The sequence below is a fragment of the Homo sapiens genome, chromosome 2, assembly GCF_000001405.40.
Source record: "Homo sapiens chromosome 2, GRCh38.p14 Primary Assembly".
Classification (NCBI taxonomy): Eukaryota; Metazoa; Chordata; class Mammalia; order Primates; family Hominidae; genus Homo; species Homo sapiens.
Genome location: NC_000002.12, coordinates 26,318,614 through 26,335,989, shown reverse-complemented (window position 1 = coordinate 26,335,989; position 17,376 = coordinate 26,318,614). Strand labels below are relative to the sequence as shown.

General features: G+C 41.9%; 1 protein-coding gene across 14 annotated transcripts in view; it reads left to right on the top strand.

Moving 5' to 3' along the window:
• ADGRF3 (adhesion G protein-coupled receptor F3) overlaps positions 1-17,376 on the top strand; it is a 38,617-nt gene that overhangs the window by 10,800 nt on the left and 10,441 nt on the right. For 4 of the 14 annotated variants that reach the window (NM_001145169.1, XM_047443565.1, XM_011532622.3 and 1 more), the window contains exon 1: positions 16,888-17,024. The exons of 9 other annotated variants lie outside the window; for them this stretch is intronic. In NM_001145169.1, coding sequence (NP_001138641.1) covers positions 16,941-17,024 — 84 coding nt within the window. In that variant the 5' untranslated portion in view covers positions 16,888-16,940. Of the gene's footprint in view, positions 1-16,887; positions 17,119-17,376 lie in introns of those variants that run through there. One more of the 14 variants, NM_001145168.1, reaches the window with a different exon arrangement.

Genomic DNA, 17,376 nt, shown 5'->3' with positions numbered 1-17,376 from the left:
ATACCCAGCAAGACCTCAGTAAGCATTGAATTAAGTTGTACTGTGAAGGAATAAGGACATATATGGCACTGGCAGCAACAAGTGCTATTAACATAAAACTCTTCCTACTTATTAACCTAGTAATCCCACTTTGAAAGAATATACTTCCAGGAAATGATCTGCAAGAAAAAAATCTTGTTGCAAAGACCTATAAGGAGCCATATTTTGTAACTGCAGAGGGGAAAGCAGGCAATCAAATGCCCAATTATATAAGAACTTAAACTGTAAACTATAGTAAATTAATGTCGTAAGATACATCATTATTAGAAAGAGAAATAAGTGAATGTAAAAAAATGGGAAAAAAAAAACAGCGTTGGCAAGGATGTGGAAAAATTGGAAGCCTCATGCAATGCTGGTGGAAATGTAAAATGGTACAGCTCCTGTGGAAAAATGCTTGATAGTTCCTCAAAAAGTTAAACATATAGTTACCTGACCCAGTCATTCTACTCCAAAAACTTGTACATGAATGTCCGTAGTAGCTATTCATAATAGCCAAAAAATGGAAAGAAGCCAAATGCCCAGCTGCTGAATGGATAAATAAAATGTGTGTGTCCATGCAACTGTTCAGCCACAAAAAGGAATGAAGTAATGATATATGCTACAGCACGAACTTGAAAACATTATGCGAAGTGAAAGAAGCCAGACACAAATGGCCATATAGTGTATGGTTCCATTTATAGGAAATGTGCTTTGCTTTGCTCTATGGCAAATCCATAGAAACAGAAAGCTGATTAGGGGATGGGGCAGGGAAGGATTGGGAATAACTAATAAGTGTGAGATTTCTTTTAGGGATAATGAAAATGTTCTGGAATTAGGTAGTGATGAAGATTGCACAAAATTGTGAATATACTAAACACCATTGAAATGTACTCTTTAAAAGGGTGAATTTTATCTCAATTTTTAAAAAGGGGAAATTGATTATTAATGTTATATTAAAAAGAAAAGCACATCGTGAGGGAGGAAAAAAGCAAAGCACAAAATAACATATGCATACCTGTTACAACTAAAAATGTATTTATTGATAACCAGGGAAAAAGACAGAGGATGTCATGAATTCGGTGTTTTTAATTTGTGGGCATTTTATCATTGTAGATAAAGTTGCTTAAAATTTAGTACTTTTACAGGCATATCTACCAGAACATTATTGCAAATTATGCAAAGCTAAAATGTAGACCTATAAAGTCCTACATGATAAGGTAACTATAGGTTCTATGGTTTTATAATATGAAGTAGGAGAGGACAAGTCATTGCGTTAATAGAATGCTTGTTAGGATAACCTGTGTTTTAATGGCGGGGAGATGATCAAAGGGACTCAATGTGAACATCAACAAATTACCCATATAAGATTTATCTTCCTGGTTTTGGCATGAGAATAGGAATGCAAAATGCTAAAGGGGTGTTTTGAGAAGCAAGCCCTTGAGGTAGCCACCAGCTAGTTTTCTCTTGAAAGCAATCAGGAGAAAGTAATCAGGAGGATGTGAATTAACAGCTTTTCTAGAGGAATTTGAAATAAAGAATGAAGGCATTAAGAGGTACTCTAAAGTCTAAATTGCTACAAAGGGGTAAGGCTTGCAAATAAGAAAATAGCTCAAAAACCACAGGGAAAATTAGGATTAAAGCATTGTGGGTGGTTTTTTAAATTTACTTTTTTTTTTTTTTTTTGAGATGATAGCTTGCTGTCTTGCCTAAGCTGGTCTTGAACTCTTGGACTCAAGTGATCCTCCTGCCTTAGCCTCCCAAGTAGCTGGGACTATAGCTGTGTGCTGCTGAGCCTGGCTAACTACTAAAGGTGATTTTTAAAAATCCTATCCTTGTACAGGTACAACCCTTTAAATTTTAGTTGGACACAGTGGCTCACGCACTTTAGGAGGCTGAGGCGAGCAGATCACTTGAGGTCAGGAGTTCGAGACCAGCCTGGCCAATATGGTGAAACCCCATCTCTACCAAAAATACAAAAAAAAAAACTAGCTGGGCGTGGTGGCGTGTGCCTGTAATCCCAGTACTCAGGAGGCTGAGACAGAATTGCTTGAACCTGGGAAGTGGAGGTTGCAGTGAGCCGAGATTGCACCACTGCACTCCAGCCTGGGCAACACAGCCAGACTCTGTCTTAAAAAAAAAATAGTAAATAAAATACATTTTATGAAATCCTGTTCTTGTACAGGTACAGCCCTTTAAATTTTATTTTATGCTAGAAGTAAGAACTTTTGTGTTAGAAAACCTAGGTATGTATTAGAATAAGTGATTGTCTGCTAAGAGAAGGCATCTGTGGCTGGGGATCCCCATAACCACTGGTTGCCACAACTGCTGCTCTGACACTGGGGTGCTCCTGTCCCTGGAGGAATTGCTCCCTGTGACATAATAAGAAATACATATTTGTTCTCTGCCCTGTTTAGGAGTCTTCAAAATGTAAGGTCTTTTTGCGTGCTAATGAGATGACTGGTACCTAGGGGCTCCTGGATAACCTCAGGATGGTTGCCAGGGGAACCAACCACGTGATTAGAGGCTAGGAACTTTCCACCTACCCCAGATTTAAGAGGAGAGGTTGGTACCCAATCTCATTTTTATGTGGCCTAAGTATTGTGTGATCAATTCTCTTATGTTCAGCAATTGTGACCCATCAAATGGCCTACACCTATATCATAATACCAACTGGACTCAAGGAGCCCATCCTGCTTTCTAATCAAAGGATATTTATAAGGGATTAACTTGAGTGTTCTAAGAAAAACTTGATACTGGAAAGAATCTTGCTCATAACAAAACATGCTTTCCAAAGAGCACTGTGAATGGTTCTGGAGTAGAGGCAATAAGTCGAGGAAGTATTTCACTGGTTACAAGTACTAGGGAGGTGGAAGATTTAGGGAAAACCTGGAAGGAAATATTTTCCTAGGAGAGGAGGGAGTGTTGATGAATACCTGTGGTTCCTTAGGCATTCAAGTTTGAATTAACTTTCAGTTTATCTTGTCGGAGAAACAAACAAGCAAACAATACAGTTATAATACAAAATTTAAAACTTTCTTAATCTTTGAGATTTGAGGGTTAGCCATGGAGGCTAGTGCCTATAATCCCTGCACTTTGGGAGGCTGAGGTGGGAGGATTGCTTGAGACCAGGAGTTCAAGACCAGCCTGGGTAACATAGTGAGACCCTGTCTCTGCAAAAATAGAAAAAAAAATTAACATAAAGTTTGGTTATAACTTTGTATATATATTTTTTGAGACAGACTGTCACTCTGTTGTCCAGGCTGGAGACCAGTGGCATGATCACAGCTCACTGTAGCCTTGACCTCCTGGGCTCTGGTGATCCTCCCACCTCAGCCTCCCAAGTAGCTGGGACTACAGGCACATACCACCATGCCCAGCTAATTTTTCTATTTTTTGTAGAGACGGGGTTTCACCATGTTGCCCAGGCTGGTCTCAAACTTCTGAGCTTATGGGACCTACCCACCTTGGCCTCCCAAAGTGCTGGAATTACAGGTGTGAGCCACCATGCCTGGCCTAATTTTGTATTCATCACTTTTTGTTTTGTGCTATTTCTTTTCAAGTAGTTGCTCTCTAGTTTGTTGGCTTCCCATCCTGCTTTCCAGTATGGACAGCCCTTCATGATCTAATTCCACCTCCATTTCTATTCACACCTCTGGCAGCAATGATCCCAAACTGCAGTACTGTAGTTCTCTGACAGCACAACAATCTGCATCATACCTGTGTACTTTTAATTGTGTTTCCCAGTGTCTAAAATGTCTGTCCCCTCACAAGGCAAACTCGTTTACCCAACTACTGAACAGATCTCTATTTTAACACATTCCAGTGTAGAAGTCTGGGGAATAAAAGAAGTTAAAGTGTTCTAAACTCCTTGAGATGTCAAAGACGCATGTTATCATCTCTAAAGAAACTTTCTAAATAAGTGGTAAAAATATGTGTAACTAAAAGCTAATGGGGGAGGAGTTCAAATGAGATAATTATAAAAAGAAATTAACTCAAAACAGGGAAATAAGGGAGAAAAAAAGGAGCAGAAAAAGTGGACTAAATAGAAAACACATAGACAACAGATTTAAACTTATCAGTGATTATAATTGACTATAAATAGCATAAATGATTTAATAAAGGTAAGGGTAGTCTAACTGATTAAAAAAAAAACTAAACCAAAATATGTGCTATTTATAACAGATATCTAAAGGTTTTTTGTTTGTTTCTTTTGTTTTGTTTTTGCCTTTTGTTTTTTGTATTTTAAAGATTGGTCTCACTCTGCACCCAGGCAGCAGTACAGCGCACAATCATAGCTCACCGCAGCCTCAAACTCTTGGGCTCAAGTGACTCTCCCACCTCCGCCTCCCAAGTAGCTGGGATTACGGGTACACACCACTGTGCTCAGCTCAGAATACATATACTTTTTTGTCTGTTTGTTTTTGAGATGAAGTTTTGCTCTTTCACCCAGGCTGGAGTGAAGTGGTGCAATCTCGGCTCACTGCAACCTCTGCCCCTGGGTTCAAGCCATTCTCCTGACTCAGCCTCCTGAGTAGCTGGGATTACAGGTGCGTGCCACCCCGCCCAGCTAATTTTTGTGTTTTTAGTAGAGACAGGGTTTCGCCATGTTGGTCAGGCTGGTCTTGAACTCCTGACCTCAGGTGATCCACCCGCCTCGGCCTCCTAAAGTGATTACAGGTGTGAGCCACTGCGCCTGGCCACACATACTTTTTTATTACATACAGAACACTTACAAAAGCTGTCCATAAGCTGGCCCATAAAACGGACCTCAAAAATGTTAAAGATTGATAATCATAAAGATGATCTTCTCTGACAAGAATGCAATCAAGCTAAAGGCAGTAACAAAAATATAACCAGAGAATTTCTTTTGTTTAGAAATTAAGACATAACACTTCTAAGTAGCCGACAAAGAAGAAATCAAAAGGGAAATCAGAAAATATTTTGAATGAAATAATAAAAATACATATCAAAATTGTGAGACGCAGGGGCCCAGTTCTAGAAAAGATGGAGTAAGCATCCTCCACCCTGTCTCTCCCACTGAGTGAAGATGCACGGAACTGATATTTGAGGACTCTAGAAAGTAAATAGTAGCAGGTGGATTGGGGAAGAAGTCCAGAATTCAACATACCACCGAACTGGTGGTGAGCTTCACATTTTTTCTTCTGGTATGCACTGGCCTGAACTCAAGGCAACCTCAAATCCAGAAATGGGCAATTGCACAGACAGACAGAACTACAGAAGAAACCCCCTAGGTCTGGCTCAAGGAGAGGGAAGGAAGACCCTAACACTCAGAGAGAGTGGAGGAAATTCTACCTTTTTTTTCTTTTTTCTCTGTTCTTTCACACCCAGCCTCTAAGCAATCCCATGGCAGCAGTGGCGGTGAGGATCCGCAGGAGCCGAGAACTCTGAGGGAGGGGAACTTCCTCTGATCAGAATTTATGGTGCCAAGAGGGCAAGGCAAACCTCCATTGCTTTTTGTCTCTGCTACAAGGCCCCACCTGTGAACAGTCACAGTAAGTGCATGGTAAAGCAGGGAAATAAAGCCCTGGATTTCTGGCCAGAGAACCAAAAAGAGGAGTCCCAGGGAATCAGAAAGTACTAGAATGACCAGAAAGGAAGAGGACAAGAAGATGACCCCAGACAGTTTTATGAGCTCCTGGGATCACTTCCCAGTTGTACAGGCGTGGATCTGACTCTAAACCACAAACCACCAGCAGAACTGCACTAAGAGATCGACCATCCATCACGCAGGTCCCGGGCCGGCCACTGGGTGGCACACATCTGCAGAAGATCTGAATAGCACCGTAAAGGTTTTGAAATGAGAATTGATGTTGAAAGAAGCACAGTCCGCAGTAGGTTGATCAGAACTTGTGATTGAACCAAGCCAGGTAGATTACCTGCTAAAAAAGAAACATTAACACTTCCCACAGGTTTTAAACAAGATCCAGAGTCTCATAACATAATATTCAAAATTTCCAGGATAAAACTCAAAATTAACTGGCATTTGAAGAACCTGGAAATCTCAACTCACATGGGAAAAAACAATCAACATTTACCAATGCTGAGATGACAAAGATGTTGGAATTATCTAAAAAAGACATTAAAGTACCTATTACAAAAGTGCCATAAGTAAATGTGAACACTGTTTTAAAAACAAAAGAAAAGGCAAAAAGCCTCAAGGAGGAAATAGAAAATATAAAGAAGAACCAAATGGGAACTTTAGAACTGAAATATATAATAACCAAAAATGTAAAAGTTATTGCATGAGCTCTGTATTAAATTACTACCATGGCTGCTATAATAAATACCTACAAATGTAGTGACTTAAAACAAAACAAATGTATTATGTAATGTAATGTGTTCTGAGAGTGAGATGTGTGAAATGAATCTTACAGAGGTAAAATCAAGATGTCAGCAGATCTGCATTTCTTCTGGAAACCGCAGGGAAGAATCCATTTGCTTGCTCTTTCCAACTTCTGGAGCCTGTCATCAATCCTTGCCTCAAGGCCCTTTCCTTTATCTTTAAAGTGCATCAGTTTCACTGGACACAGTGGCTCACACCTGTCATCCCAGAACTTTGGGAGACCAAGGCAGGAGGATCATTTGAGCCCAGGAGTTTGAGACCAGCCTGGGCAACATAGTGAGACCCCATCTCTACAAAAAATAAAAATAAAAATTAGCCAAGCGTGATGACACACACCTGTGGTGCCAGCTACCCAGGAGGATGAGGCTCACTTGAGCCCACGAGGTCAAGGCGGCAGTGAGCCATGATTGTGCCACTGCACTCCAGCCTGGGCAACAGAGTGAGACCCTGTCTCAAAAAATAATTACATAAATAAAGTGCTGCATCAGTTCAACCTGTGCTTTTTTGTTTCTCACATTCGTGTCTCCCTTTTACAAGGACCCTTGTGATTACATTGGGCCCACACAGATTATCCGTGATAATATCCCTCTCAATATTCATAATTTAATCACATCTGCAAAATCCCTTTTGACATATACATTTACATATCCAGAAGTTCTAGGGATTTGCACATGGACATCTTTGGGTGGTCATTATTCTGTCTATCCAGGCTTAACAGCAGAACAGAGATGACAGAGAAAAAAGTCAGTCAACTTGAAGATAGATCAATAGAAATGATCCAATCTGAAAACCAGAGAAAAAAGATTGAAAACCTGAACAGAGCCACTGGGATCTGTGGATAAAATACTAAAAAGGCAGCTGGGCGCAGTGCCTCATGCCTGTAATCCCAGCACTTTGGGAGGCTGAGGCGGGCGGATCACGAGGTCAGGAAATCGAGACCATCTTGGCTAACAGGGTGAAACCCCGTCTCTACTAAAAATACCACAAAATTAGCCGGGTGTGGGCATGCACCTGTGGTCCCAGCTACTCAGGAGGCTGAGGCAGGAGAATCGCTTGAACCTGGGAGGCGGAGATTGCAGTGATCGGAGATAGCACTGCTGCACTCCAGCCTAGGCAATAGAGCGAGACTCCGTCTCAAAAAAAAAAAAAAAAACTAAAAAGGCCTAATAGTTGTGTCATTAGAGCGCCAGAGAAGAGGAGAAATAATTCAGTGCAGAAAAACAATTTGAAATAGTGGCTGATAAAAGACATAAATCTACAGAAGCAAAAGCTCGCCAAATCCAAAAAGGATAAGTCCAAAGAAAGCCCACCTTAAACACATCATAACTGCTAAAAACTAAAGTCAAAGAAAAAATCTTGAAAGCAGCCAAGGAAAAATGATAGATTACTTATAGGGGATCAATGAGTTATATGGCTGTGGATTTTGTTTTAGAAACCATGAAAGCCAGAAAGAAACAGAACAACACTTTTAAATACTGCAAAGACCATATATTTTAACTCCATTTTATTGATGTGAAAACTGAGGTCTAGAAAGATGAAGTGGTTGTCTCGAATCACAAGGCTCATTAATCCCATTCCTAATATAATGACCACTTTTCTACCATGCTGTGGTTTGAATGTGTCCCCCAAAGTTCATGTGTTGGAAACTTAATCCCTAATGCCACAGTGTTGAGGGGTGGAGACCTTTAAGAGGTGATTAGGTTGTGAGGACTCTGAGTCCGTTTTGTGTTGCAATAACAGAATACCACAGAGTGGCAAAATTTTTTTTTTTTTTAAAAGAAGACGTTTATTTCTTACAGTCCTGGAGTCCTCTGGGAGTAGGCTCCTAATAAAAGGATAAGTTAGGGCCCCTTTCCTCTTTCTCTCTCTGTCTTTGTCTCTCTCTCTCCCGCCCCCACCCCACCATCTCTCTCTCTCTCATGTGCTCTCTTGAATTTCCATCTTCTGCCATGGGATGACAGAGCAGGAAGGCCCTCACCAGGTGTGAGCCCCTCAACCTTGGACTTCTCAGCCTCCAGAGCTGTAAGAAATAAATGCCTTATTTAAAAAAAAAAAAGTTACCCAGTCTGTGGTATTCTGTTATTGCAACACAGAACAGACTCAGACGTACTGATACAGCATCCTTGGTTTTTCTGAGCATGTATTGATACATTCTTTTAGCTGCAAGTAACAGAAAGCTGCTCTATCCAGCTCAAAGGGAAATAATGAAAGGAAGTCAGGTTCTCTGAAGGAACTAAAGATCAAGAGTGCAAATGAACATCAGGGATAAACTGAATTTGAAGAGGAACTCACCTCATGTTTGTCTGTTTCTGTATCCACATTAGTTTTACTTTTCCTTGGAGCTCAGACTATTTTCCCAGTCCCCATGACAGAAAACCAAGAGCTGCTGAGTTTACAAGTTGTAGGCCCAACCCCAGACTCTCACTGGGTCCCAGTTCCAAAATTACCCCAGAAGAGAGAAATTGTTCCCACTTGGTTTTAGATGTGGACTGTACTGTAATCAGAGATTAGTGTAACCAAGTGTAAAACAGCTACTTTGGCCAAGCATGGTGGCTCACTCCTGTAATCCCAGCACTTCGGGAGGCCGAGGCAGGTGGATCACTTGAGGTCAGGAGTTTGAGACTAGCCTGGCCCACATGGTGAAACCCCATCTCTAATAAAAATGCAAAAATTAGCCGGGAGTGGTGGTGGTCGCCTGTAGTCCCAGCTACTTGGGCTGAGGCAAGAGAACTGCTTGAACCTGGGAGACGGAGGTTGCAGTGAGCCAAGATTGTGCCATCTCACTCCAACCTGGGTGACAGAGAGAGACTCCATCTCAAAGAAAAAAGAAAAAGGCTACTTCCATGGTAAACCTGTGGTTATGGGCAGAGGGCAGTTTCTAAGAAATGAGTCAGAAAATAAGTAGAATATACTCATGAACAATAGGTTCTCAGTACAAGGACCTGCTATTTTTTGCCCTTGACACACATTTCTCTAGGGCTTCTAACAGGCTACTCAAAAATATTTTCTAGGTTTATTGACTTTATAAAATCTACTTACTTGTATATTTCATCATTAAATGAAGTTTTTCAGTTTTCCTGCTCACTAGAATATTGAAATAAGTTCACTACTGCATGGTTTGGCAGGGAATGCGTACTCACTTCTCCCATTTCCACAGAGGGAAAGGAACTTCCACTTCCAGAAGGATATATTTTCTGTTCCCTCTCCCTCTCACCAAAGCAAAAAGTGACTTATATCACTTTTTGACGTAAGGGGAACAGAGAGGGATTTCTGACCAGAGAACCAGAATATATCCTTCTGATAAGGATATATTCTGGTAAGACTTGGAGAATGAGCTCTGGGTGCCCCGTCTTTTGAAGTGGCCAGTCCTCCATACTTGTCCTCAGCTCCCCGTCCCCAGACAGGTAGACCTGGAGATGCCTTGCTGTGCCAGTGACTGAGTTAGTGAATTCAGTTCGAGGGGGATGTATTGGGAAGTACACTTGGCTCAGATCAAAATCACCTTCTCTCACTCAGCTTTTCCATTAATGAAGCTGACTCATGTCTGCTTTCCTATTAGTGACCCCTTTCCAAACCATAACACGTAGTTGTTGACTCAGAGAGAAAATTGTTCTTCTTTCATGGAGTAATACTACCATCTTGCAGCCGTCCAGGATTTGTATATCTTATATTTTTTATACTCACATTAGTCATCTTCTCTTATATGATTTCAGGATTTTGTCTCACACTTAGGTAGGTCATCTATACCTCCAAAATTATAAAATAATTTTCATTAATGGGTTTTAATAAATGGGGAATGGTACCTAACAGATACTTAAGTTTATAAGATTATAACCCTGAATTATGCCTTAAAATTAGTCAGGACCCTGGCTTAAGGATTTGAAATTATTTTATCTTTAGAAGAAACAGTTCTTCTCCACTCTAATGTCCTGGTCTCTCCATAGGTTTATTTGTATATAAGGTCAGCATGAAACTTTTGTGAAGACCCCACATCTTGTAAGAATCAAAGAAAGCATCAGAAATTTCATGAGTTTCTTCAGCTTCTCTAAGTTGTGCTCTTGAGGTACATAGCTTTAATATAAACGCTGAAGCAGGGTTTTCTGAACAGTCCCAGACAGCAAATGCAGGATCTCATTCTAGGGTCCAGACTTAGATACTTAAATTATAGATCTAAGGCTGTCATTATTCCTTCTGAATAAATTTACACCATTTCTTTTAACATTTTAATGTCAGAAATATCTTTTTTCCTATAAAGGCATATATAATGTGTCCAGCTTTTTGTTAAAATACCTCTTCTTGTCAAATATTTCACAGATAAGTAATTTTATAGCATCAAACAATTTTGAACAGACTCTTTCTATGTTAGAGTTCTCTGTGTCAGCCGAGGATTAGCTGACTTGCCATTACTGGAATTGTGCTGCAGCTGGGTGAACAGCTGTGCATTTCCCCTTCTCTCTACACATGTCCCATGATGTGGCCACTGCCACTGGCCACAGCTTGGTAGCAACCAGCAGAAATCCTGTATCGCATAACAGCTGTCATGACCTCTGAACCCAAATTGTATTTGTGCAAATACACCAAGATCCCCAGTCAGAATGGCTGTTACTAAAAAGCCAAAAATTAACAGATGCTGGCAAGGCTGTGAAGAAAAAGGAACACTTACACACTGTTGGCGGGAGTGTAAATTAGTTCAGCCATTGTGGAAGACAGTGGCAATTCCTGAAAGACCTAAAGACAGAAATACTATTCTACCCAGCAATCCCATTACTGGGTCTATACCCAAAGGTATATAAATCATTCTTTTATAAAGACATATGCATGTGGATGTTCATTGCAGCACTGTTCATAGTAGCAAAAACATGTAATCAACCTAAATGCCCATCAATGATAGACTGGATAAAGAAAATGTGGTACATATACACCATGGAATACTATGCAGCCATAAAAAAGAATGAGATCATGTCTTTTGCAGGGACATGGATGGAGCTGGAGGCCATTATCCTTAGCAAACTAACACAAGAACAGAAAACCAAATACCACATATTTTCACTTATAAGTGGGAGCTAAATGATGAAAACACATGGACACATACAGGGGAACACACACTGGGGCCTTTCAGAGGGTGGGTCAGGAAAATAACTAATGGGTACTAGGCTTAATACCTGGGTGATGAAATAATCTGTACAACAAACCTCCATGACTCAAGTTTACCTATGTAACAAACCTGCACTTGTACCCCTGAACCTAAAATAAAAGTTAAAAAAAAATACACCAAGATTCAATGTCTGGTTCATAGAGGTAACTAATATGTAGCAACCCCAGCAGTTACTTTCTCTCTTTCTTTTCTTTTTTCTTTTGAGACAGGGTCTTGCTCTGTTGCCCAGGCTGGAGTGCAGTGGCACGATCACAGCTCACTGTGGCTTTGACCTCCTGGGCTCCGGTGATCGTCCCACCTCAGCCTCCCATGTAGCTGGGATTACAAGCATGTGCCGCCACACCCAGCTAACTTTTTGTAGAGATGAAGTTTTGCCATATTGAGGTTTTGTCATGTTGCCCAGGCTGGCCTTGGACTCCTGGGCCTTAAGCAATCCACCCGCCTCGGCCTCCCAAAGTGCTGGGATTACAGGCATGAGCCACCACACCTGGGTCCAGCAGTTACTTTCTATAAGAGGTAATGGAGGCCGGGCGCAGTGGCTCATGCTTGTAATCCTAGCAGTTTGGGAGGCCGAGGCAGGTGGATCTTTTGAGGCCAGGAGTTTGAGACCTGCCTGGCCAACACGGTGAAATCCCGTCTCTACTAAAAATACAAAATTATCTGGGTGTGGTGGTGGGCACCTGTAATCCCAGCTACTTGGGAGGCTGAGGCAGGAGAATCACTTAAACCTAGGAGGTGGAGGTTGTAGTGAGCCAAGATCGCACCATTGTACTTCACCCTGGGCAACAGAGTGAGACTCTGTCTCAAAAAAAAAAAAAACAAACACAGAAGAAGAAGAAGTAATGGAGGCCAGGTCCAGTTGTGGCTCACGCCTGTAATCCCAACTACCTGGGCAGGCTGAGGTGGGAGAATCACTTTGGCCCAGGACTTTGAGGCCAGCCTGAACAACATAACAGGATCCTGTCTCTAAAAAATAAAAATGAAATAAGGGAGCACTGCTTACTAGCAGCCTTCACAATCCATGTTTAGAGGTGTCCAGGAGCAACCTAGGAGCTCAGAGAAGCTGCCAGCAGCTAAAAACTTATCAGTTTCCAAAAATCATTATGTATATTGGAGGGACAAAGGCCAATCACCTTGTGGTTCACTTTGGACTTGGGAGTAGGTAGGTGGCAGCAATAAGTCCCCATTGGTCTGAACTCCACTTTGCCTAAGACCTGATTCAGCCTGTGGGTGCTTCCTGACACCCCATGAAACTGATCGGTCCATAAGACTGTAAGATTTGATATAGATATACAGATATATAGATTTTTTTTTGAGATGGAGTCTCACTCTGTTGCCCAGGCTGGAGTGCAGTGGTGCAATCTCGGCTCACTGCAACCTCCGCCTCCTGGGTTCAAGTGATTCTCATGCCTCCGTCTCCTGAGTAACTGGGATTACAGGTGCCCACCACCACCCCTGGCTAATTTTTTTTGTATTTTTAGTAGAGACGGGTTTTCACCATGTTGACCAGGCTGGTCTTGAACTCCTGACCTCAGGTGATCCACCTGCCTCGGCCTCCCAAAGTGCTGGGATTAGATTACAGGAGTGAGCCACTGCACCCAGCCAGATATGATATTTTTATTAAGATCTTTTCTATTACAGAATACAAAATTGAAACATACAGAAAAGTAGAAAAATATACCAAATCTACCATTTAATTAAAATCACCGTTTATGTCTTGGTGTATTCCATTTATTGATTGATTGATTTGATACAAATATTACCTAAGGCCTCCAATGCACGGTGCTAGGCACTGGGGGGTACTGAGGTAAACTCAGTGCTTTGGAGAGCCTGTAGCATTTCCCTCCAGTCTTTTTCTAGATATCTCTGTACATGCAAAAATGTTTCAAGCTTTTCTAAAATCATAGGAACAGTCTAAAAAGTGTAAAATAAATCTCAATTTTATCAATAGTTTTGAACACCTTGGACACCTTAGCTTTATTTGAACTAGGAATATGTTGCTCTCATTTCTACTGTCACTATTAGTCATGAACTCAAAGTGGTTAAGATGAGAGATGAGCTGGGAATCAATTAGGGAAAATTATGTTTTGGGGGTGGAATACGGAGGACCTCTCCAGCTCCAGCTCCATCAGCTTTCTTTTTTTTCTTTTCTCTTTTTTTTTTTTTTTTTGAGACAGATTCTTGCTCTGTCGCCCAGGCTGGAGTGCAGTGGCAGTGATCTCGGCTCACTGCAACCTCCACCTCCCAGGTTCAGGCGATTCTCCTCCCTCAGCCTCCCAAGTAGCTGGGATTACAGGCACGCACCACCACACCCAGCTAATTTTCATATTTTAGTAGAGATGGGGTTTCACCACTTTGGCCAGGCTGGTCTCGAACTCCTGACCTCATGATCTGCCCACCTTGGCCTCCAAGGTGTAGTGCTGGGATTACAGGCATGAGCCACTGCACCCAGCCTCTATCAGCTTGCTTTTTTTTTTTTTTTTGAGGAGTCTCATTCTGTCACCCAGGCTGGAGTGCAATGGCACGATCTCAGCTCACTGCAACCTCCACCTCCCTGGTTCAAGCAATTCCCTGCCTCAGTCTTTTGAGGAGCTGGGATTACAGGGGCACACCACCAAACCTGGCTAATTTTTTTGTATTTTTAGTAGAAACGGGGTTTCACCATGTTGGCCAGACTGGTCTCGAACTCCTGACCTCAGGAGATCAGCCCGCCTCGGCCTCCCAAAGTGCTGGGATTACAGGTGTGAGCCACCGCGCCCAGCCTCTATTAGCTTTCTAATGTCCTCGGAGTTCCTTCTTCCTTCAGTGTTCATGCTGATGGATGAACAGCCTTCCCTCCACTGGAGGCTGTCCTTGCCTCTCCTAACTGGGGGCTGCCATGGCTCAGTCTCCCCTCGGCACTGAAGCATCCACTTTTCTGGGTCTCAGTCCACCTCTTGCTTGTGTATTTCCTGGTCCTCAACAGACCCTGTTGAGCATAGTCTAGGACCACTTCATGCCTTGACAGACTCCATTTGGAGACTGCAGCAGATGCTATTGATGTCCCACATCCCCTTGGCCCATCTGAGACTGCCTATAGCTGCAACAGACAGCACACAGCATGCTAATAGCATCCTACCTCCAGCACCTGTGTTTTCTCTCTCACTTCTCTCTCTGGTTCTCAAACCAGATTCTCCACCATTTTCATGTTTTCTGAAATCAGCTATTTACAAGAGCGATTGCTCCCATGAGTGTATTTGCCCAGTGTGTCTGCTCTTCCATTAGCAGCAAAACTGGCAAGGGGGGATTGGAGGTGGAGGTGGAGGTGGAAATGCAATGGGGCTATGTTTCTACCATAGGTACTTCGTACTTTGTGTGTGTGTTTAAATCAACTTTTTTTGATTAAAAAAAAAGTCTATGATTAGAAAAACTATATATGAAACAGCACACAGACCCATCCAGATCCTTAATCCCTTTCTCCAGAAGCAACAACTATTGTCAAATTTCTGATGTATTCTTCCAGAAATATTCTAGGGATATAAAAGTACAAGCATCTTAAATAGATTCCTTTTGTTTACATACATGGGAGCATAATATATATAACATATATTTAAACTTCACTACATATATTGGGGATCACTCCAAAATAAAGCTACTTCACTTTTCCCCCACAACTTTAAGTAATGTGTTGCTTGGAAATCCCAAGATTTATATAAGCTCTCCCTTTTTAATAGACATTTTGATTGTTTAATCAACTCATTTGCTATCACAAACAATTCTGCCTTGAATATTCTTATGTACATGTTTTTACACACATGTACAACTATACTTTTAATACTTAATATAATTAAAATTTTCTCTTTTGATAATTAGCAGGTGAGAAATAGTATCTTCTTGTTTGATTTGTATTTCTGATGCGTAAAGTTGGAGGTTTGTATATGTTTATCAAACTACTTCTTTTTTATTTTTATTTTTTTAAGATGGAGTTTCACTCTTGTTGCCCAGGCTGGAGTGCAATGGTGCAATTTCAGCTCACTGCAACCTCCGCCTCACAGGTTCAAGCAGTTCTCCTGCCTCAGCCTGCTAAGTAGCTGAGATTACAGGGATGCGCCACCACGCCTGGCTAATTTTGTATTTTTAGTTGAGACAGGGTTTCACCATGTTGGGCAGGCTGGTCTCGAACTCCTGACCTCAGGTGATCCACTCACCTCGGCCTCCCAAAGGGTTGGGATTACAGGTGTGAGCCACCGTGCACGCCCATTATCAAACTATTTCTATTCCTTCTTCAGTGAATTGCCTATTCCCATCTTTTGCCTATTTTCTATCTTATTGATATGAAAACTAGAAGAAACTTCCTTTGTTGAGAAAATTATTCTTCTTAGGCCAAACTTAAAAGTTTTTAGACAGTCAAATTTATTTCCTTTTTGGCTTCTCAGTTTTATGTATTTAAAAAACTTAAATACATAAAAAACCAGTATTATCAATTTAAAAAACCTTCCGCAGTTTAAAATTATTTTATGAAATAACTTGATAATTTTTTCTAGTATTCTCTCAGATTCTTTTTTACATTTAAGACTCTAGGCCAGTGCAGTGGTGCACATGTGTAATCTCAGCTACTTGGGAGGCTAAGTTGGGAGGATAGCTTGAGCCCAAGAGTTTGAGGCTATTGTGAGCTATGATCATGAGCTTTGATCATGCTACTGCACTCTAGCCCGGGCAACAGAGGGAGACCTTGTTTCTAAAAGAAAGAAAAAGAACGAGAGTGAGAGCAAGCGAGAGAGAGAGAAAGAAGGAAAGAGAGAGAGAAAGGAAGGAAGGAAAGAGTGAGGAAAGAGAAAGAAAGAAACAAAGAAAGAAAGGAAGGAAGGAAGGAAGGAAGGAAGGAAGGAAGGAAGGAAGGAAGGAAGGGAGGGAGGGAGGGAGGGAGAGAAAGAAGGGAAGGAAGGGAGGGAGGGAGGATTCTAGTCTATCTGGAAATTATTTTAGAGTAAAAATCAGCTCTCATATTTTTATCTTTTCTTTATTTTTCATTTGTAACCTTGACTGTTTGATCAGTGATTCAGCCTTTGAGGAGTTCAGAACAATCCAGATTTCCCAGGTCCTTGGGAACATGACTGAACCTGGCTTATAGACATGTTGCTGGTTGTGACTTCGAACCCCTAAGCCTCTCCTGCTCTCGGAGCTTTGGGTCCAGAGCCTAAGAAGAGCCTGGGCACCATTCTCACTGGGGCATGTGGGCTCCAGGTGGCCCCCACAGTGACCTGGATTCCCATTTCACTCAGAGTCACAGGCTGTAGCGCTTCCTCTGTAAATTCAGCCCTGGCTCCCTCCCCTCTTCCCTCCCATCCCATCTGCACACTGCCCTGCCAGCTCTTCCTTGCGGAAATTTGCATCGTGGGCTTGTAGGGACTGCTTCACTGAGCCATGGTCTGTTCGGCTGCCCCACTGCTGCTCCTGGCCACAACTCTTCCCCTGCTGGGGTCACCAGTTGCCCAAGCATCCCAACCTGTAAGTGAGACTGGGGTGAGACCCAGGGAAGGTCTGCAGAGGCGACAATGGGGACCCCTGATTGGGAGAGACAAAGCATGGAATGAAAGGATAGGTAGTGGGGAAAGGGCTGAGGGGAGAGGAAGTAATGTGTAAGGAAAGTGGATGCTTTGTTATGAGATCTCTGAGAACTCAGTTTTACTTTCCTGGGTGTGGGGGATAGCTCTTGTTTCCTTATTTGAGTCCCTGTAAACTCATATGATACCTGCTGTACTTTGGATAAAGTCTCATTCAGTCAAGCTGGCCATTTAAAAAGAAAAAGAAAAATTTTGCAGATTTGGAAACTATTGGCTTAGAGGATGGGAGAGAATCT